Raw genomic sequence first — 22,384 nt, 5'->3', positions numbered from 1 at the left:
TTCAGATTGAGTCTTGCTCTGTTACCCAGGCTGGAGTGCAGTGGTGCCATCTTGGCTCACTGAAACTTCAGCTCCCGAGTTCAAGCGATTCTCCTGCCTCAGCCTCCCGAGTGGCTGGGACTACAGGTGCATGACACCGCACCTGGCTAATTTTTGTGTTTTTAGTAGAGACAGAGTTTCACCCTATTGGCCATGCTGGGCTCAAACTCCTGACCTCAAGTGATACACCCTCCTTGGCCTCCCAAAGTGCTGGGATTACAGATGTGAGCCACTGCACCTGGCCCGTTATGTTTAATAATTAATATAGACAGCCTGAGCACTGACCACTCAGAATAGATGCTGGACCTAACAACCAGATGGCCCAACCAGGGAGTGGCAGCTGACCATTAGCGTGGCTGAATCTTGTTCACGTGCACGCGCGCAGGAACATGCACGCGCACACACACACAAACACACACACACACCACTCATGCGAGAAAGTTCTGCCCCAGTTTGCTGATTGCAGAAGGACCAGGTACTAAATACCACATGCATTTCCAGTCTAATTTAGCAGGGCTTAGTGATTGTCTAAAAATAATTCTTCAAGTCAAGTTTCTTCAATTCTCTAGCTGCCGTTTCTAGACACGGCTCCCCTGACCTTTTCAGATTCTCGCTATACAATTTGCCTCTTGTTCAGATAATTTGCAATTACCACACACCAACTGGTTGCTGATAAAGGCTAAATGTAAAATACCAACAGTATCCGACTTCAAACGGGGGCTTAAAATTGGGGTAGTTACTAACAATGAGGATCAAGGAGATGGGAGGAAAAAAACCTAGGTTTAATTACATATTAGATGGTGCCATCACAGCTCTAAGACAAGTCCAATTCTCAGCAAGAGAATCAATTGCCCTCAGGATGGAAACTCAAATCCATAGAGATGTACAGATACTAGCTTTCTTTTAGAGCCAGGTTGGCAATTAGTTATTAGACTAGTTGTAAAGAGCAGAAACTAGGTGGCTAATCTGCAATTTCTTCCTTCCTCTCCTCCTCCTCCTCCCCTTTGCCTTTTTTTCTTCTTCTCCTTCTCTCTCTCTCTCTCTCTCTCCCCTCCCACTCTCCCTCTTTCTCAATATTTTTATTCTTGTTTATAATGGGCTGGACACTGTACTAGGCACTAGGAATATAAAATAAGAAAGACCATCCCTACCCTCAAGGAACTTACAGCCCACTGGGAGAAGAAGACACATAGAAAATCCAAATACAGTGAAGGGAAATTCCAGGCATGCCTGGAGCACCTAACAGCACCAACCTAGTCAGTCAAGAGTCAGATCAGCTCCAGCACCTGGACGGCGCCCGCCTGATGGGGCTTTGGACATCAGGACAAGTTGCCCAGAGTGCCCTGAATGTCCTAGTGAAGTACAGGGCCCTGGGGCTATGAAAGATCTGGGAAGGTGCAGGAGGTGTTCAGTGCCTTCGGCTCAACACCTAAAGTGAGACAGGAGCTGAGCTCAACCTAAAGCAGCTCCTGAATTCCTCATTGTCTCTGCTCAGTAGTGAACCAGGAAACTCCTAGGTGTCTGAGGTATCGGCCTCACTCATACAGGAAGGTGCGAGTTGGCTTTGAGAAACTATAGGGGAAATCTCTCAGATGGCTTCTCTTTTACCTGTAAAGGGAATCTGGAATTCCACCACTGAAATTTCATTTAGAATCTAGAAATCTTGCATCCTTATTAAAGTATAAAGTTCCCTGGAAAGTCCTGCCCTCAATTTATAAGGAGGTCCCAGGTGAAGAGGTGAGCAGCCGAGAGCAATTTCCTGTGAGGCCCCAGGGGGATCAAAGACTCCTGGGAAGAGTCCTTGGGGGAGGAGAGGAAGAGGGCCTGAGTTACTGAGAGCAAGAAATATGCCCTTTAAAGCATAATGAAGCCAAAATGAAAAAAAGGCATTTTTTTCCTTTGTAATTTCAGAAGTGGGCAGCATTTGTAGTTCTCCCCTTATCTCCATCTGAAGCAAATGCAGACACTTAAGCCTCTTGGCTTCAGAGCGTTTCATTCTTTCACCCTGCAGACTGTATGGAGCACCCACTGTGTGCCAGGCTCTGTGCCAGGCTGGGACAGGAGGGGGTGTCAGAGGGCTTCTTCCTGCCCTCCAGTCACTTTGTGTGGCCAGAGCCTCTGGCACTGGGGCCAGGGATCAAAGGTGCCATGGTGGTGGGCAGTGCCCTTCCTGCAGCTGACTTTGCCCAAAGACCACATCCAGTGCCCTGCAGAGAGGGCCGGACCACCACAGGATGCATCAGCAAACAGCACCTTGTCAAAAGGCTTACCTAAAACCCAGTGCCTGCAGGTTAAAAAATAAACCAACAGTTGAAATGAACATTAGAGGAACAACCTGCCGAGCCTCTTAATCTGTCACTTAAATCTAGGGCTTTTAGCTATAATTGAACATCCTACTGTGACTATTATGAAGAGGAGGAGGAAGAGACATTGAAGTTGTGGTTTAGGAGGGTGGAGGAAAATAAATTTTCCTTCAAAACCAGTCAATAACAATGCCTTTGTGTTAAAGGGATGGAGTGCTGGCCCAGTCACTGCAGAGGAAAACAATACAGCCAGTCATGGAAGGCGGCAGCTGACTCACCATGGAGGCTGCCCATTACCCTGTGTGAGTCTAGAGGACCACTGACAGGCCCAAGGACCGGAAAAGCACCACTGACTTCTTCTAAGCTTGAAAAGAAGCCTCCTTGGCAGATGACTATAAGCAGTATCATCCTAACTGCTCAATCCGACTAAAAGAAAGAACAAAGAAAAGAAATGAAAAATAGTGGGGGAGGAGGAGGGAGAGAAGAAAAGAAAAAAAGAAAGAAGAAAAACCCTCCATAGACTATGGCATCAAAAACTCCATTTACAAGCTCTGAGAAGATCACAGGGTACAGGGGTGATTTTGTGAAGAACAAATTCTTTCAGGCTGATCACCACCCAGCCTCCTGGGAGTTCAAGAGGGAGCGATAGCTCCTTGTCTTCTGGAAGGAGAGAGGATCTTCAAAGCATTCTGTCCCCCTGGAAGGGCAGTGTGGTATAAAAACAGGAGGTGGTTGTGGTGCCTGTATTACTATTATTATTTGACAGAATTGTCTTTGAGAGATTGTTCTCCTGCCTAAGAGGGAAATTAGGCTGAGGGAGCGAATTGTTTCTGCAAATTTCTTCTTTAGAGAAATTGGGCTCCTGGGGTATGAAGAGACATAGTGAGGGGGTCTATGGTGGATACCTCAGCAGGCAGACTCATTACATCTTAATCTTTACCGAGAACCAACTGGATGTGTGACCTTGTGAGAGGTTGAGTGGAACTAAATTTGCTGTAACTCTCTTCAGAAAGGATCAAAATGAATAGTGTACTCCTCACATCAAAGCTTTTCCCAAGAGCACCACGCAAGGGCCACTTTCTTGCCCATCTGGAGTCCCTGCCTTTTAAGTGATCAGAACAGATCCTGAAACACTCCCTTCTTCAAGAATCATGGTCAGAGCCAGGGCAAGAGGAGTGGTGACCCGCTTCAACCTTCCTTTGAATAAATGTGAGTCACTCAGAATACTCCTTCAGCTCATCATGCCAGAAATACAATGGTTGATGCCTTGTTCGCAATCTGAATCTTAATTCCTCCCTACTGTAACACCTCTTTGATCCCTTCCTTGTCAGGGGATGAGACACGCGGGAGGAGTGAAAGTGCCATGTAATTTGGGCTTACTCCTTAAAGCACTGAATCATAAAAAATAAACAAGGAGCCTGGTCGTACTACATGCTTTCCTGCTGAAATAAACAGAGGACATTTCATACTTGAAATTTTATGATTCAGGCCATCGTCTTGAATGAGCATTATATTGTGCGTTTGTAATTCACATACAGTGTGTAATAAAAGGCTAAGTAGTGGTGATTTCTGCCTGTCTGGCTGATGCTTTTAATGGAACCTGATTTTTGAAGCATTACATGTTATTAACTACTTTCTGTAAGTCTGCTCAGGACTAACCCTATCAGGGTTAATGAAGGAAGTGTTAAAAAGACATGGCTCAAGGTAAGAAGCTCCATTACAGAGATCAAAAACCATGTCAGTAATTCATTCCCAGCATGGCTGTGAGCAAGGAGACTTGAATAAATGCTCTTTTGTGTAATGAGGGTGGTGGCCATGGCAGGGAGAGGCATCAGTTAGGATTCTTGGTGTGAGCAACAGAAACCAACTCTGGTAACTTGAGCCAGAAAGGGTATTTATGGGAAGAATTCTAAGTGGGTACCAGTGTTTAAGGAAGAGCTGAACAACCAGGTCCCAGAAAGAACTAAGTGAAGGCTGCTCCCATGAACTCAAAAACAGGACTCACGGCCCCCTCTCTAGGATGCTGACATACCATCATTCCACTGCAATCACCTCCAGTGCCTGCGTGTCTCCACTCAAGAGCGGATTCCTGGGAGAGGTGATGGTGATATAATTGGCCCATTTGAGGCCATGAGTCTATCCCTGCACCAAGTAGATGGAATCCTGTATTTGGCAGCCCCATAAAACCCACAAAGAATGAAGAAAGGTTATCTCTCCCAAAGAAAGGAATGTTGAGTGGACAAAAATAACAGATCTCCATTAGAGACAGCCTCACTGACACAAATCTACCCATTTTCACATTCCCTAAAGTCTAGACGCTCCTGGTTTCATCTGAATGTGTCTTCCTATCCCAAGAACTGGCCTATAACCTGTTCTTCCTTCAGAGGTCGTCATAGGCAGAATGTACTCCCCCGCCTGCTCCACAAAAAGGTCCATGCCCTAATTCCCAGAACCTATGAATAGGGGCCTTTGCAGCTGTGATTCAGCTCATGGACTATAAAATACAGCAATTAGCCTGGTTTATCCAGTGGGCCCACATGAGTCAGGGAGATTCAGGACAAGGAAAAGTTGGAGAAATCCTGAGCATGAGAGGAACAAGATGCCCTGCTGCTGGAGAAGGGCCACATGGAAAATACAAGAAGGAATTCAAGTAGCACTGAGGAACAAGGATAAGCCTCTGACAGGCCAGCAGGAAACCAGGGACCCCATCACACAACTGCAAGGAACTTGATTTAGCCAACAACCTGAACGAGCCTAGAGCTGGGTTCAGACGTGGAAATTCCAGAAAGGAACCCAGCCTGGACATCTTAATTTTACCCTCGAAGCAGAGAGCTCAATAAGGCCACACACTCTACTTAAACTTCTCACCCACAGAGCTATGAAATGAAACTTTGTGTTGTTTTAAGCCACTAAATTTGTGATGATTGGTTACAGCAGCAATAAAAAACCAATACAGAGCTCATGTAGAGGTCTCACCCACTATAGCATTAATGCCAGCATCTTATGATTTTCTTGGTGACTCTCTGGGGGGATAATCTCTCTGGGTTTATCAACTTGGCTCTAGTTCTTTTTCTGCATCATCAGCAATAACAACAATAACAAACTTAAAAAACTATTTATTAAGCACCTACCATGTGGTATATCCTTTATAGCAATTATAATTTTTAGTCCTCACCCAAAAAAAAGATTTTACAGATTAAAAAGTCTCCATGCCACTGCATTTTAGAACATGAGGACAGTAATAATGCCTACTTCACTGGAATTTTACAAGGATTGACTAAGATACAGAGAAGTTGCATAACTTGTCAAATTCACACAAATAGTAAGAGAGAGAGCTGGGATTAAAACCCCATTCTGTCTGATGCAAACCTGTGTTCCTACTAAGCCACACTGCCGCAACAATATAGCTTGGAAGCACACAAAATAACATGTCACTCAACTGGAATCCAGTATCACTTCATGGCCTCACGTTTCTCCAGTGTCTTTGACATATGGTTCAGTGGAAAGCGCACTGGGGTCATCTGATGAGGTCTCCATCCCTCTACCAATTTGGTCTGTGTGAAAGTTGGGGAACACATTGAAAGTTGCAGCCAGTTCTCAGTTCTTCTTGGTTTTCAGTCTCCCTGGGCCCTCTTGGGTCTCCCCTATGCAACACAATCTTCCAGTCAACCAGGAATATGTGGAGGATTTATCTCTGCTCTTTTGTGGCACTCTTTTATTTCCGGCATCTCCCCATTAAATTTCCTGCTGGTCCACAGCCCACCCCAACTAAGAACACAATCTTGGGCTAGCAAAGTCACAGATTTTCCTCATTCTTTCCCAATTGAGTCTTCCACATTTAGCTAGCAAAGCCACAGGTTTACACACACACACACACACACACACACACACACACCCCGTGAAGTGAGTCCATCCCTCCTGGCAGCAAATTGCTCATTTTCATGGCCAGCCCTGCGCTTTTAAAGGTCCAGTTCTGGCCAGCTGGGCTTGTGGGAGAAGATGGAGCAGCTCCAGGCAAGAAGGCCAAAGACTCCTGCTGTTCTTACCCGAAGCTCCAGCAGTTTTTCAGGAATAAAAGCTTCACAATTTGCTGTCTGCCTTTGGTCAATTTACAGTGCTTTGAAATGGTTATTCTTGACAATTTTATTCCAGTTTTCTGCTTGTTTTGTGAAGAGGAATCACTGACCTCTCACGCTGCAGTAACCGGAAGTCCCACCCACCATCTTCTCAAGAGACTCCAGCACAGAGGCTCACCCAGCAGTGGGGAGTTCTTACTCTATTTACTCAGTAGTCCTTGTCCACAGGCCCAGACCAGCCCCAAAACTACTTCAAGGAGCCAATGTCTATGCCTCTCAGAAACCCCTCTCTCCACACCTCCCAGCTCTTCCCTGGGATAGACAAAATGGAGTCCGAATTTTGCAGTAAATAGAATCTGTTTCTGTTACACGTATCTCATATCAGAAAATGCACAGGCCTGGCTGCTGAACCTTCAGCTTTGACTGTCTCTCTGTGTTTTCCACTGCAGTTAATGAACCATAACTGCCCCCAAATACTTTGGCTCTCAGTCTATTTCAGCCAACATTCCAAATTGGGTATCAGTTCACCATTGCATTTATATGAAAGAACAAGAAAGAGCTTTGTTTTCATATTTTTTTTTTTCTACTCAAGCCTCGTTCCTCGTAGCTGACAGCTTAGCCTTGGACCATTTTAGAAAAAGGACCAGAATGATTTAGCCTTCTGCTCCTCTTTATTTTTGCTACACTATCCCTATGTTATTATCCCCCTTTCGTAACTCTCAGAAAGTAAAGGAAACCAACAGCCCTTCATGGCAGTGGATGGGAAAGTCATCTAGTGAGGTGGTGACGTTATTGCAAGCTGCTCACAAATCTAAATGCCATCCAAGCATCATTGGTAGTCTGAATAAATAATATAGGTAAACCACTTTTGAAATGCATGTACATCTTCATTGTAAAGTGCTGGCAAGTTTACAGTGGCTAGTATTGTATTATTGTACATTTTCTCTAACGTTGAATATCAAGTCAATAGCTGCTATATCATGCTGGAAATGGGGAGAAAGATCAATGAAATTTATCAATGTAAGAAAGTATTCCTCATTCTCAGGCTGGGCGCAGTGGCTCATGCCTGTAATCCCAGCACTTTGAGAGGCTGAGGCAGGCAGATCACCTGAGGTCAGGAGTTCAAGACCAGCCTGGCTAACATGGTGAAATCCCACCTAACTAAAAATAAAAAAATTAGCCGGGTGTGGTGGCCTGCACCTGTAGTCCTAGCTACTTGGGAGGCTGAGTCAGGAGAATCACTTGAACCCAGGAGGTGGAGGTTGCAGTGAGCTGAGATCGTGCCATTGCACTTCAGCCTGCGTGACAGAGTGAGACTCTGTCTCAAAAAAAAGAAAAAAAGAAAGTATTCCTCATCCTCAAAAAGATTGGGAATCACTGCTCTGGAGAAACTGGACTTCTAGAGAAACAGCATTCCTTCTCTTCTTTGGCCTAGGGTGGAAGTAATATTAGGGACTGTGTCCCCATCCCCCCACCCCACACCACCTCCTCTGGCTCATGCCCATGATATTGGCCCAGTGTTGAGAATCGTACCCTTGTAGAATAGGGTAGACACTGGTCTGGGAGTCTGAAGAGCCAGTTTCTACTGTGGTATGCCATTACTTGCTGGAAAATCTTGGGTCTTTTGCTTCACTTTCTTGAACCTTCATTTATAAAACAATTCACTAAATGGTGTCAAAGACCCTTGCTGGCTCAGCCATTATTTGACTCAGCAAATTGTAATTCTAGGCATCTTGCACACATCCTCCTTATAAACCCCAGAATGGCCACACATCTTTTACAGATAATTGTATTTTCCAGCTAAGTGTCAACAGTCTCTTTGCTTGGCTACTGGCCATAAAAATAAAGTGCAATTCAGGGTATAAGTGGCCAATAGCATGAGGACTCAGATGGAGGAACGCACCTGTGTAAATAACCACCACCATTTACTGAGCACTTGCTATGTGCAAGGCACACTGATAAGTGCTTTTTGTGTATTAAGTAATTTCATCCCCTTAACACCCTCTGAGGCATCCTGTTATTTACCCCTTTTTCCAGGTGAGACGACCTAAACCCTTCCCCAGCCTGCATCTGCATCATCTTCATATCCTCTAGATGATCTTCCCCTTACAGAGAAATGAAGTATGTATTTGTTCTTAGAATATAATTCATAAATGTATAAGCCATCACCATGTGGGTTCCTTTCATGAAACACAGCAAGATTCAAGGAAGAAAATAAAACGTTCATTTAACTATTAACGTTGAACATTTCCTTCTCTGAAGCAAATGTCAAATGTCTGTGTAATTATCCTTAACTCTCACTGGCAGCAGGAAAGAATTTGGTGATTCAAAGTTTGTCACTCCTTTGAGTTAATCTTAAAAGGAGAACATATAAAGCAGTGAGAAAGGCATAAACTGGACACAGTTCCTGACTGCTGAAAGCCTTCAGTGATGAAAGATATCATGACTTCTGCCACTGAGTCAATCAGCCCCATCCCTAATCCCACTGATAACTTCTTCAACCAGAACCCAACCCAGAGAAGACTGGGTTCAACCCATAGAACAAATTAGAACAAAAATAAGCAAACAATGATTACCCACAGGGTTGAGAATGTTGCTATGAAGTCATCCTCCACAGATAATGCTTGTGTATATAGTATATATATAAGAATAGATTTGGAAAGTAACATGACAAAACTAAGCAACAACCACTCTGAATCTGATTAATAATTTTTAGAAAAAGAGGTAAGGGTGAATTCAGGAAACAGCTGCAGTTAACCAGCTTAAGTCAAACCAAGATGGAGGCATGGAGACTGTGGGCTGCAACGCAGGTGTGAGAGCAGCTGATGACCCAGTAACCAGAAATAGGCTAGAAACCGCAGTGAGAGTTAGAAGGAGCTGGGTATGCCCATCACATGGATAGGACGGACTAAGCCATAAGGCTTCAGGTATCTGCCTCTGCCGGCTGCCTCCTTTATTGCTTCAGCATAAAACAGTTGTGCATAGCTTCTAACACTAACAATAGCTAATATCCTATTTGTGAGTTCTTACTATTGGCCAGGCTGCATGCCAAAACTTTGCACACATTATCCTGATTTCATTCTCCCTGAGTCCTAGGAGGAAAGCACTGTTCATCCCTTTTATAGATCAGAAAACTGAGGGACTAAGCACCTTGCCCAAAGCCATGTACTGTACTTGGGCAATGTAGAAGCTCCCAGTCAAACTCAGAAACCTTCATTCCAGAGCCTTGTACCTAATTGCTTCCTGATTTCCTAACCACTTTGCGAGTTTTCCTTGAAATGGAAAGGAAAAATGTGATACAGGTGGTAAAGAATCAAAACCCAATTTTGCCAAATTCACAAATCCGTTGGGGTTGGACCTGGGCAGGGGACAGTAGGAAGCAACAGGAATAACACTGTCAGTGGGGACAGTGGCACCCCTCATTCCAGAAGTGACCACCTGAGCACACAGGGGCTCACCCACAGAGACCTGGGGTGGGAGTGCAGAACGCACCTGAACGCTGAAGAAAATCCTGCTCAGGTAGGAGAAGGTGCTGTTGCCATGGCTACCACAAATTCTTGGCCCAATCCTAGGGCAGTAGCTTCAGTCCTAATTCAGAGAGGCCTGGTTTTCAGGGGGAAAAAAAGAAATAAAACAGAAAAGAATCAGAGCCTCTCTCAGCCACAGCAGCCCTCCACAAAGGGGCAGTGTCTCTGCCCAGCTCGCAATCTAAACAGATTAACCGCAAATGCCTGGAGGCCACTGAAAGGCGCCTTGCAGAAGATGAAGCGCCCTTTCATACCTGACAGTATCCCAGATGGGGCTTAGCATGGCTTTACGAAGGAAGCTGCCAGAATAAATACACACACCGTTCCGACAGGATCCCGTTCCACTCGTGGGTCTCCCGCAGCAGCCTACAGTTGGCCCCTCACAATGCTGGCTTTTTCCCAGCTAGTCAACCCTCATTTACCCAACCAAGCTAAGCCCTGGAGGCGCTGGGTGCTTTCCCACTCAGCTGCCCACAGCTCTGCCTGCAGCTCAGTGTAGTCCTAAAAGCCCCCTGTTTAAACAGAGGCCGGGTTGTAATTCCTCTGCAATGATGGCTTGCTCCTTTAGTAAGAATTCAGGCCTAGCATGAGGAGTCCTGATGCCACCACCTTGCCTCTGAGTGTTGCCTGCTTTGCTGACCCCAGCGCACTGCCAGGCATACATGCACTGCCTACACACCTGGAAAGGCACCCCAGAGTCCAGGACCAGGGAACTGACTGCAGGAGCTTACCCTCCCCATCAGGTTGACCCACCATGGCCACCATACTATTCTGGAACCCACAACGGTCACCAGCTAGGAATTGTGCAAACTGGGTCCTGCTTCTCCATTTTTTACCCCTGCACTGAAGTGTCAGCAAAAACATTCAGTGCCTAGGGTGGAAAAACAATCTACCTAAATCCTAAAGCTTCCTGTACCTCAGAAGGGGTCAAAAATAGTGGAGCCAACTAATTACAGCCTAGTGACAATAGGTTCCATAATCCTTTATTTTTACATTTATATCTTAGCTCAGGCAGAAATTATTGAAACATTAAACAGAATTCTAAATATGTGAAAGAAAATATTTATTCCATTTTTGGACCATAATGAGGTAAACTAGTTTCATTGGTCTGCATGCAACTGCTATTGTTTTTCATTTTTCCAGAGAACTTTTACTGTTACATCACATCTAAAATCTAACCTCATGAGAAGAGTAAATTAGGCTTTATTATCCCCGTTCCACAGGTGAGGCTACAGAGGCCTAAGAGATCCAGATGAACTCCTTAAGGGCAGTGGCTCAGCTGTTCTCTCAAGACAGGACCAGAGCACTATTTTAGTGAGTCTTGGTCTATGGCCCAATCCAACTTCTCCAGAATATCATAGGTCCCCGCTACGCCAATGTCCTGGGTTGACCCAAGGCCTGAGTGGATTGAGGAGATAGGTTTTCCTTTCATAAACAGTATCAGTGATTGCCTCGAGGAAAGGGAACTGCGTGACTGGAGCCAGGGATAAGAAGATTTTCTTTTTACTGTATACCCTTTTGTGGCTTTAAATTAGGTACCATATACATGAATCAATTATTCAGAAAATAATTAGCACTTCATTTTAAAGGTGTTCCCTTTACAAGTCAATTTTATCCTACCTCCAAACTAATGGAATTGAAACATGTAATTTTAAGATCTTTAAGCCCACATTACGGGCTGTGAGCCCATATCATAGATGGACCCACAACCAAGCTCAAAAGGAATACACTGAGATGGAAAACACTGCACACAGGGTTACCCCACTACACCCAAAAGATGCACAGTTCAATGAAAATAAGATAGCCAGCTTTTTATTTTTTTATTTTTTGAGATGGAGTCTCACACTGTTGCCCAGGCTGGAGTGCAGTGGCGTGATCTTGGCTCACTGCAAGCTCCGCCTCCCGGGTTCATGTCATTCTTCTGCCTCAGCCTCCCTAGTAGCTGGGACTACAGGCACCCGCTGCCACGCACAGCTAATTTTTTGTATTTTATTAGAGTTGGGGTTTCACCGTGTTAGCCAGGATGGTCTCAATCTCCTGACCTAGTGACCCACCTGCCTCGGCCTCCCAAAGTGCTGGGGTTACAGACGAGAGCCACCGTGCCCAGCCAATAGCCAGCTTTTAATTATCAGTGTTAGAAAAAAAAAAAAAGTCATGGGGGTAGGTCAGCTACAATGTAAGTAAACATTAAAAGTTATATTTAATTTATATACAGCTTTGGAATGTGTTTGTATAGTGCACTTTGGACTATAGATCTGTTTTCTTCCATGAACTTACAGCATTGTAAGCTAAATAAACCCAAAGGACTAAAATATTGGGAAACTGTGTCTCTTAGGATGCTTTTGGCTACTGGAAACAAAAATCCTAACTGACACTGACTTAAACAATAAGGAAATTAACTGCCTCACAAAACGGATCAGGATCTCAGGGTTTGTTGATCCCCCAGCTCAGCAATGTCAGCGGGTCCCAGGTCCTTCTGTCTCTTTCCTCTGCACCCCTCAGTGCTGGTTTCATTCTCAGGCTTGTAGCAATATGACAGAAGAACTCCAGGCATCACTCCCCAATCTAACAAGGTTAAGGGGAAAAAGGAAGCACCTTTTCTTAGAAATAGATACCTCTCTCAGAATCTTCCCGCCTTCACTTTACCCTGAGACATCCCTGCATTCCTCATTTCATCACGTGTCCTTCCAGAACCAACCACGAGCAAGGGAACAGAATAATTGCAATAGGCTTACTCTAATCAAAGGGACAAGAATGGATGTTGGCCAGTCAAACACCACATCCTCTGCACATGTCCTCATTTCCCCTGTCCCTGAAGTCACTCCATGAGAGCATCACAGGCAATAGACTGAGATTTTTGACTAATGCTGAATTTCATTTTACATGTGGATGCCCCCCTCCCACTTCCTTCTTTTTGGTCCTGCTAAGGAATGGTGAGAAACTATGCATTTTAGTCTGAAGTTCCTGCTACCTGAGTGCTGTAAGTAATGCAAATAAGCATAAACAAAGATAATGTTCACATCATTAAAAGACAACTTAGACTGAATAGGGGATGAGTTCAGTAAGCCACTAAAAGCAAGATTTGCCATGAGGGAACACAATAATAAGCAGCCAGCCCCATATTCAAGGTGAATGTGTCTATCAGGATTAGTATCTTGTGCATTATTGTCATTTCCAGAAATCTACCTGAGCCAAGAGTATGTTTCAAGGCTAATGATCAGATGAAGGGTGTAGTGAACAGGTGTCATTGATTCAAAGGTTCCTGTGCAGAGCGGGGTGGGTAGGTCTCATCCTTGGCTACTGCCCCTGCCCCAGAGGCTCAGAAGTGGACACTCGGGGAGTGTGCTCATTAAAGGCATACAGTCCCACAGGAGAAAGGATGGATTGATGTCACTAACTTGCTGAGATAATAACCACCTCAGCTCCACAAAGCCCCAGTTGGAGGTTAAGAAGAGAATTGCCTACAAGCAGTTTACACACAGCAACTAAGAAATAAAGCACTGTGTCAGATGGATCACTGAAAAGCAACATGGGAATCTGTTCCCTTTTTTTTCCGGAAAGAAACAGAAGGTACAGCCACTGGCCACATTTATTTTTGGAGCAGAGAGAAGAGAAATAGATAGAAAAAGATATAGACATATGGATTGATCTGATTCAACCCTAGAGAAACATCCATCTCGCATGTCAGGGTTAAGAAGGGCCATACACTCGTGACCTGCACCATCAGAACTGCACAGTTTGGTCTTGCTTTTTAATAGTAGAAAGTGCAACAATGCCAGGGTGGGATCATTCTGGAATCAAAAATTGAAGAAAAAAATCCCTGATTCCTCTTATATCATACACAGCCACACTGTGTTCTCGGGCAGTGCTTCTCAGGCGTCGGCATCATATGAGTCACCTGGGAGCTTGTACAAAGGCTGACTCTGACTCGGGAGGTCTGGGGTAAGGCCCAAGGGTCTGCATTTCTAACAAGCTCCCAGGTGATGCTGATGCTGCCATCTGGAATGTAAATTTTGAGTGGCCATGTTCTAGGCTCCCTACAGTATAGCATAAGGTCTATTGAGTTACTGTTGGTGGGATTTTAAGATGTGTAGATTTTCAGACAAGAAGAAGCCTTTAAAAGTCAGCTAACACAGTGGTTGTTAAAGTGTGGTCAGGGAACGTGGGGGGTTCCTAAGACTCTTGAAAGGGTTCATGGGATCGAAACTATTTTTATAGTAAACTAAGATGTTAATTTCTCTGTTTCACACTCATTCTTTCACAAGTGTCCAACAGAGTTTTCCAGGGGGGTTTTGATGTGTGAAATCATAAAAGACTAAATAGAGAAGCAAATCTAAGAATCCAGCTGTCTTCCAATAAATAAGAGAATAAAGACATTTGTAAAAATGTTTTTTTAAAGTCAGTTAACAGAGATTAACATCCAAAGCATATTAAAAAATAACTCCTACAACCCAACAAAAAAAAAGCCCAATTTAAAAATGGGCAAAGGACTTGAATAGACATTTCTCCAAAGAAGATATACAGATAACCAATAAACATGCAAAAAGATGTTCAAACCTCACTAATTATTATTAAATTTTTTTTGAGACAGAGTTTCCCTCTTGTTGCCCAGGCTGGAGTGCAATGGCATGATCTTGGCTCACTGCAACTTCTGCCTCCCAGGTTCAAGCAATTCTCCTGCCTCAGCCTCCCAAGTAGCTGGGATTACAGGCATGCCCCACCATGCCTGGATAATTTTGTATTTTTAGTGGAGACGGGTTTCTCCACGTTGGTCATGCTGGTCTCAAACTCCCAACCTCAGGTGATCCACCCACCTCGGCCTCCCAAAGTGCTGGGATTACAGGCGTGAGCCACCATACCTGGCCCAAACTTCACTAATTATTAGAGATATGTAAATCAAAACCATAATGAGATACCACTTCACACCCATTTGGAGGGCTATTATTTAAAAACAACAACAAAAAAATAAAAATAAAAATAAAAAACAGAAAATAGTAAGTATTGGTGAGGATGAGGAAAACTGGAACCTTTGTGCACGGCTGATAGAAATGTAAAATGGTACAGCCATTATGGAAAAAAGTATAGCAGTTCCTCAAAAAAAATAAACATAGACCCATCATATGGTTGTGTATATACACAGCAATCCCACTTCTTCATATACACACAGAAGAACTGAAAGCAGGTACCAGAATAGATATTTGTACACCAGTCTTCCTGGCAGCATTATTTCATGGTAGCCAGAAGGTAGAAACGACCCAAATGTTCATTGAAGGATGAATGGATACACAAAATGTGGTATACACATACAGTGGAATAGTATTCAGCCTTAAGGGAAATTCTGACATGTTTTACAACATGAATGAACCTTGAAAACATTATACTAAGTGAAATAAGCCAGACACAAAGGACAAATATTGTATGATTCTACTTCTATGGGTGATATGGTTTGGATCTGTGTCCCCACCAAATCCCCTATTGAAGTATAATCCCTGGTGTTGAAGGTGGGACCTGGTGGGAGGTGATTGGATCATAGGGGTGGTTTTCTCATGAGTGGTTTAGCACCATCCTCTTGGTGCTGTTCTTGTGGTAGTGAGTTCTTGTGATATCTGGTTGTTTAAAAGTGTGAGGCACCTTCCACCTCAATCTCTCTTCTTCCTGCTCTGGCCGTGTGAAGTGCCTGCTCCCGTTTCCCCTTCTACCATGACTGTAAGTTTCCTGACGCCTTCCCAGAAGCCAAGCAGTGTTGCCATGCTTCCTGTACAGCCTGCAGAACCATGAGCCAATTAAACCTATTTTCTTTATAAATTACCCAGTCTCAGGTATTTTTTTTATAGCAATGAGAGAACAGACTAATACAATGAGGTACCTTGCATAGTCAGATTCATACAGACAGAAAGTAGCAGGGTGGTTGCCAGGAGCTGGGGAGAAAGGAGAGTGAGGAGTTATTGTTTGATGGGTATGAAGTTTCAGTCTGGGAAGATAAACAAGTTCTGAAGATGGATGGTAGTGATGGTAGCACAACAGTGTGAATGTAATTAATGCCACTGAACTGTACACCTAAAAGTGGTATAAATGGTAACTTTTATTTATTTTTATTTTTATCTTTTTGACACGAAGTCTCGCTCTGTCACCCAGGCAGGCTGGAGTACAGTGATATAATCTCGGCTCACTGCAAACTCCACCTCCCAGGTTCATGTGATTCTCCTGCCTCAGCCTCCCAAGATTACAGGACCACACCACCATGCCCCGCTAATTTTTGTATTTTTAGTAGAGATGGGGTTTCACTATGTTGGCCAAGCTAGTCTTGAACTCCTGGCCTCAGGCGATCTGCCCGCCTTGGTCTCCCAAACTGCTGGGATAACAGGTGTAAGCTACCAAGCCCGGCCGGTAAATTTTATATTATGCATATTTTACCACAAGAAAAAAGGCTAACTTAACTCTCTGGTAATATATGAAGAGGGGGAGGCAAAGGATTATTATAAACGGCTGAGCAGAGAGGCACAGCTGGCTGGCGATGGAGACCAGACAGAACCCCTGGGACCTAACTCCCAATTCTGTGTTTTTTGGCTTCAGAACTCTGACCCTGGGCTGCCCTGTAATGATGTGCAGATGCAAAATGGTGTAGTGAAGAGATAAGAGGACCAGGTACCAGGAAACCAAGATTCTAACCATAATTCTGTCATTCCTGGCTGTGACACTTGAGAGGAGTCTTTGACTTTCCTGGAACTAGTCCTCTGGTCAGTAGAATGTAGAGATTGACAATGTTTTCATCAGTGAAATAAAGAGAATGTCTCCCAAAATATTTTGCTTGGAATACTGATGTCAAGAGATATCTATGGGGAAAAAATATGGTTTTGTAGTCAAATATTTGGGACATGTTGCAGACTTAATCCCTCTTTTGGATATTCACAAAACACATTAGCATGTTAAAGGATCTGCAAAATTCTGTGGTAAAGAAATCTGTTCATTTTTCTTTACCCACGATCTCACTTTGGGCTCCCGAAGCAGACACTGAGCCAAGGATTTGAATACAAATAGTTTATTTGGGAAGTGAAGGGAAAACAGTAAGGAAATCAGGAAGGAAAGTCAGTCTTAAAGGATACCTAATCAAGTTAGCTGCCCTTGGGACAACCAGCTCACAGTCCCACTGCAGAAATTCTAGAAGCTAGAGTAGGACACAGTTCAGTGATCACACCTAAGGGGTGGGGGAGCTGGGGTGTTTATACACCACGGCCCGCCAGTTATAGTCTGAGGACGGCTTGTGGTGAGTGTCAAGCTCCTGGCACTCTTGGCCCATTATTTGAGGACAGAACAGCCCTCCATGGCTTCAGAAAGGACCCTAGACAAAAAGATTCAGACTCGAGCTCCTGGACATCAGCCTCTTGCACTGAAGCAGTAAGACTAGAGGGATACAGCAGAGCACCGGCAGCATCTGCTAAATCAGCTTTTCCCAACTGCCATGACCCTAGAACGCCTCCTCCCTTGTTTCTCAACACCTAAAAATATCCTACAGAACCTTAGGAAACAAGACAATTTGTAAGATCCCTCTGGCTCTAATGTTCTAATGAACTCTGATTTTAAGTTACTTAAGAAAACTTACGATGCCACTTCCAAGCTCAACGACCATTCTATTTCTCAGCTTTGACCCTACCTGGCTCATTCTGGGCAAGGCTGGCCTCCTGCTGGGGCTGGCAGAAAGACAGGCTGTCCAGCTATGGCAGGTGGAAGAGATCAAGGACCTGCCCTCTTCTCCCGCCCCTCTAGTGCCTCAGATCCATGGGTGTGTGTCTCAGGCTTTTCTCTCAAAGGAGAATGCACCATCTGTGAGAAGTGGCAATCTCTTCTTCAAACGCACACATTCCTTGGCTATTATTAAAAAGTCAAAAAATAACAGATGTTGGCGAGGCTGGGGAAAAATGGGAACCCTTTTACACTGTTGGTGGAAATGTAAATTAGTTCAGCCAATGTGGAAAGCAGTTTGGAGATTTCTCGAAGAACTAAAAGTGGAACAACCATTCGACCCAGCAGTCCCATTACTGGGTACATATCCAAAGGAAAATAAATCACTCTTCCAAAAAAACCCACATGTAGTCATATGTTCATCACAGCGTTATTCGCGGTCACAAAGACAGGGAATCAACTGAGGTGCCCATCAATGGTGGATTGGATAAAGAAAATGTAGTACATATACACCATGGGATACTATACAGCCATAAAAAAGAACTAAATCACGTCCTTTGCAGCAACATGGATGCAGCTAGAGGCCATTATCCTAAGGAAATTAGCACAAAAACAGAAAACCAAATTTTGCATATTCTCACTTATAAATGGGAGCTAAACATTTGGTACACATGGACATAAAGATGGGAACAATAGACACCGAGGACTACAAGAAGGAGGAGGGAGAGAGGAGGCAAGGCTTGAAAAACTACCTGTTGAGTGCTATGCTCACTACCTGCGTGATGGATTCAATCACACCCCAAACCTCAGCATCACACAATAAACCCATGTAACAAACCTGCTTATGTACTCGTGAATCTAAAATAAAAGTTGAAATTACACATACACACACACAAACACACACACACACAGAGAGAGAGAGAGGAGAGAAGAGAGAGAGAGGGAGACAGATTTCTTTAAAAAGGAGGGCTCTTGTCTAGTTCCCCAAGTTTGCATAGTTAATTTTTTTTCTCCAACAGCAAACCGACCTCCTATCTTCAAAAAGAGAACTCTTATCTGAGCCTAGGGAAAATTTGAGGCCAGAGATCAATCACTAAAGTCTAATATCATACCTTTTGTAATGAAGAAAAGAAAGGACAAATCCTTATCCACGAAATGTGGGTAATTCCTCCAGACAAATGGGCTGTCCTTAAAGAAGTCACATGCTGACGAACAGTCATTCCCATCCAACGCCACCGTCAGTGTTCTCTCAGAGCCAGGCAGTTTGAAGGCTTCCTTCGGGTAGAAAAAATTACACTAGCCTTGGTTCAAGCCTCCTTTACACTAGCCTTTCTTTAGCTGACAAGTCTTAAAAAGAAATCAAGAACCAGAAAGAATTAAAGGTTTGCCTATTTTTCCTCACAGTCAGAGGCGGTGCTGCTTCTAGAATTCATCTTGAAGTTCCATTTGCAATCTCTTTCTCCCTGCACAAACACATCAATAATCGTCCCATTATACACACACCTGAACTATATTTACAAAATGCAAGTATAAATTATCCCGCAAATTGTATTAACACTGTGAATAAATTTAAGGATGTTCATGTGAGACAGAAAACCAGCCTATTTGTAAACAACAAATACCAATGTAAAATATATTCAAGTCAGTTCAGTCAAGAGCCTGGCTTGGTGCTGAGTGCTGAGGAGACAGCAGGCTAGACTCTGTTGAACTGCTGTTTTTGTAGGAAGAAAAAAGTCAGATATTGGCGATTTAATATGGTCAGCCTTATACAAAAATAAGTTACACAAATCCTGCATGCAAGGAGTTTACAGTTCAGGAGAGAAGACTAATATGTGAAACCACCAAGGTTGAAACAAGGACTTAAAAATGTACAATGTGCTAAGGAGCCGAGGGGGGTAACCAGGGCAGGTGCCTTAAGGAAGAGTTTTTGCCATTTATGTTAACAAAAAAATCAAATATTATACAAGTATTTTATTTATTTATTTATTTTTAGATGGAGTTTCTCTCTTGTTGCCTAGGCTGGAGTGCAATGGCGTGATCTCAGCTCACTGCAACTTCCGTCTCTTGGGTTCAAGCGATTCTCCTGCCTCTGCCTCCCGAGTAGCTGGGATTACAAGCATGTGCCACCACGCCTGGCTAATTTTGCATTTTCAGTAGAGATGGGTTTTCTCCATGTTGGTCAGGCTAGCCTCGAACTCCCAACCTCAGGTGATCCGCCCACTTCAGCCTCCCAAAGTGCTGGCATTAGAGGCATGAGCCACCGCACCCGGCCATACAAGTATTTCAAAAAGAAAAATTCCCGCCGAGTCCTTCCCTCCAGAGATAATTTACATTATCAATAGTTTAGTGTATTTTACATTTTTTCTTTGTACTTTTATTTCTGCTTCTTTAAAGAAAAGTTGGGGCCAGGCATGGTGGCTCATGCCTGTAATCCCAGCACTTTGGGAGGCCAAGGTAGGCAGATCGCTTGAGCCCAGGAGTTCCAGACCAGCCTGGGCAACATGGCAAAATCCCATGTCTACAAAAAATACAAAAATTAGGGTGTGGTGGTGTGCACCTGTAGTCCCAGCTACTTGGGAGGCTGAGGTGGAATAATCACCCGAGTTCCAGAGGTAGAGGCTACAGTGAGCTGTGATAGTACCAGTGCACTCCAGCCTGGGCAGCAGCAGAAGACCCTGTCGAGAGAGAGAGAAAGAGAGAGAGACAGAGAGACAGAGAGGAAGAAGGAACGAAGGAAGGAAGGAAGGAAGGAAGGAAGGAAGGAAGGAAGGAAGGAAGGAAGGAAGGAAGGAAGGAAAGAGGGAGGGAAGGAGGGAGGGAGGGAGAGAAGGAGGGGAAAGAAATTTCTTTATTTCCTTTACTTTCTTAATAAACTTGCTTTCACTTTGCTCTATGGACTTGCCTCAAATTCTTTCTTGCATGAGATCCAAGAAGCCTATCTTGGCGTCTGGATTGGGACCCCTTTCCAGTAACAATACTGCTGATGTCATAAACGCCCCTTTGCCGATACACTAACACACATGTGTCTCTTCCATGTCTTCAAAGGACTCCTTGGGCCTCTCTAAGGTAGCAGACAGAACCAAAGTCCATGTTGGATAATCAATTAATCATTTATCAAGTAATAGAGAAGGAAGTGCTTAAAGTGGACAACCATAGTTTGGAAATCAAGGAGGCTGTGATGGGAACGGAAGTGGAGGTGGTAAAGGCTTCAGCAATGGTGATGACATTGATAAGGACCGGTAGGTAGAGGCCTACTGAGGCCCCTTCTTTTTGGTTGGCAGCTGTCTTCTCTGAAATTTGAAGGTAGAGAAAGTGTTGAGAGAGAAAAAAGTGCTTCAGACACAGATAAGAATTGGAGAGACAAAGGATGTGTGAAGAGCAGCAATCTTCAGACTGAAGAACCGGAGCCCTGGGGTTATGTAGAGGCTTTCCTAAGGACACGGGGCACAGATGGTTCTGGAGAATTAAGTCCCAAGTCCTCCATTTCCATGCATTAATTTGCCTGAGGATGTGTCTGCAGCCAAAAGTCCTGGAAATTTGTCTTCCCCTCCTCCCCCTTCACAAGTTCAACTCCCACTGTTAGCTATTATTTGATTTGCTGTTGTTAACCATTTCCTCAGTGCATATATTTTCTATACTGTGGCACAATAATTTTGCTCAGAGGAGAGTCTCACAAGATGCCCTAGGGAAAGCAAGGGAAGGATATGATCTATAAATGTCAAGAAACCAGGAGCAGTTTTCCGACATCCTGTGTGTGATGAGAGATAGCCAGATCAGGGCTTTTATTACACTCTGTCTGATCAGTGTATCAGATGGGATCCCACCACGCACTGGGCTGCACTCTGTAATCGATGGTAAGTTGTCAAAAATGATTTTTTTAATGAATTGCTCAGACTATACTGTGCCTTGAGAAAAATGGCCCTGTATTCAGAAAATCTCATTTTTTTAGAGAGGCAATTTTAGTAGCTAAATATTTGAATGTAGTTAAATATTTATGGATTCACAACATTAAATATTCACATTACCTCTGGTAGGCAGATGTCTCTTATCATCAGTCATAGACTCACAGATTCATGTGTCTCTTATTACCTGTTTCTTCAGTTATTCTTCCAAGTCCTTTCCAGTGATCTAATTGCTCCTGCGACAAGGACATTTTTATCAACTTATGTTCATTAAAAGGCTCAACTTCCAATGTGCCATGCCTAAACCAGAATTAGTAGTCAAGAACTATAATCCTTCTTGGAGTGGCTTGGCCATTCACCCACCCTGCTCTCTGCTTCCACCATCATAACCAGCCATCTCCAGCTCCAGCTCTGAGCTCTCTGTTACTTGTCCTTCTGACTCTCTTGTTTTAGTCCCTTTGAGCTGCTAAAACAAAATGTAATACCTTAGACTAGGGGGCTTATAAATAACAGAAATTTACTGCTCACAGTTCTGGAGGCTGAGAAGTCCAAGATCAAGACACCAGCAGATTCAATGTCTGGTGAGGGCCCATTTCCTGGTTCATAAATGGTGACTTCTCGCTGTGTCTTCACATGGAAGAAGGGCCAAGCTAGCTCTCTGGGGTCTCTTTTATAAAGGCACTTATCCAATGTATGATTAATTAACCTAATAACCCCTAAAAGGCCCATCTCCTAATACCATCACCTCAGTGGTAAGGATTTTAACATATGAATTTGGAGGCGACACAAACATTCAGACCATAGCATTCTGACTCTTCTGTCCATCTGCAAAAGGAAAAGTGAGGCTGCCCCTGTGG

At 43.9% G+C, this 22,384-nt stretch overlaps 3 annotated features.

Moving 5' to 3' along the window:
* Window positions 1,649-2,164: an enhancer, noted in NCBI's record as "H3K4me1 hESC enhancer chr13:53361529-53362044 (GRCh37/hg19 assembly coordinates)". NCBI's record gives its function as "activates a minimal SCP1, AML or CMV promoter by ChIP-STARR-seq in naive H9 embryonic stem cells {active_cell/tissue: H9 hESC(naive)}" and the evidence as "EXISTENCE:reporter gene assay evidence [ECO:0000049][PMID:30033119]".
* Window positions 2,165-2,681: an enhancer, noted in NCBI's record as "H3K4me1 hESC enhancer chr13:53361012-53361528 (GRCh37/hg19 assembly coordinates)". NCBI's record gives its function as "activates a minimal SCP1, AML or CMV promoter by ChIP-STARR-seq in naive H9 embryonic stem cells {active_cell/tissue: H9 hESC(naive)}" and the evidence as "EXISTENCE:reporter gene assay evidence [ECO:0000049][PMID:30033119]".
* Window positions 9,873-10,372: an enhancer, noted in NCBI's record as "H3K4me1 hESC enhancer chr13:53353321-53353820 (GRCh37/hg19 assembly coordinates)". NCBI's record gives its function as "activates a minimal SCP1, AML or CMV promoter by ChIP-STARR-seq in primed H9 embryonic stem cells {active_cell/tissue: H9 hESC(primed)}" and the evidence as "EXISTENCE:reporter gene assay evidence [ECO:0000049][PMID:30033119]".

Source organism: Homo sapiens, chromosome 13, assembly GCF_000001405.40.
Source record: "Homo sapiens chromosome 13, GRCh38.p14 Primary Assembly".
Taxonomy (NCBI): Eukaryota; Metazoa; Chordata; class Mammalia; order Primates; family Hominidae; genus Homo; species Homo sapiens.
This window is presented reverse-complemented; position numbering and strand designations above follow the sequence as displayed.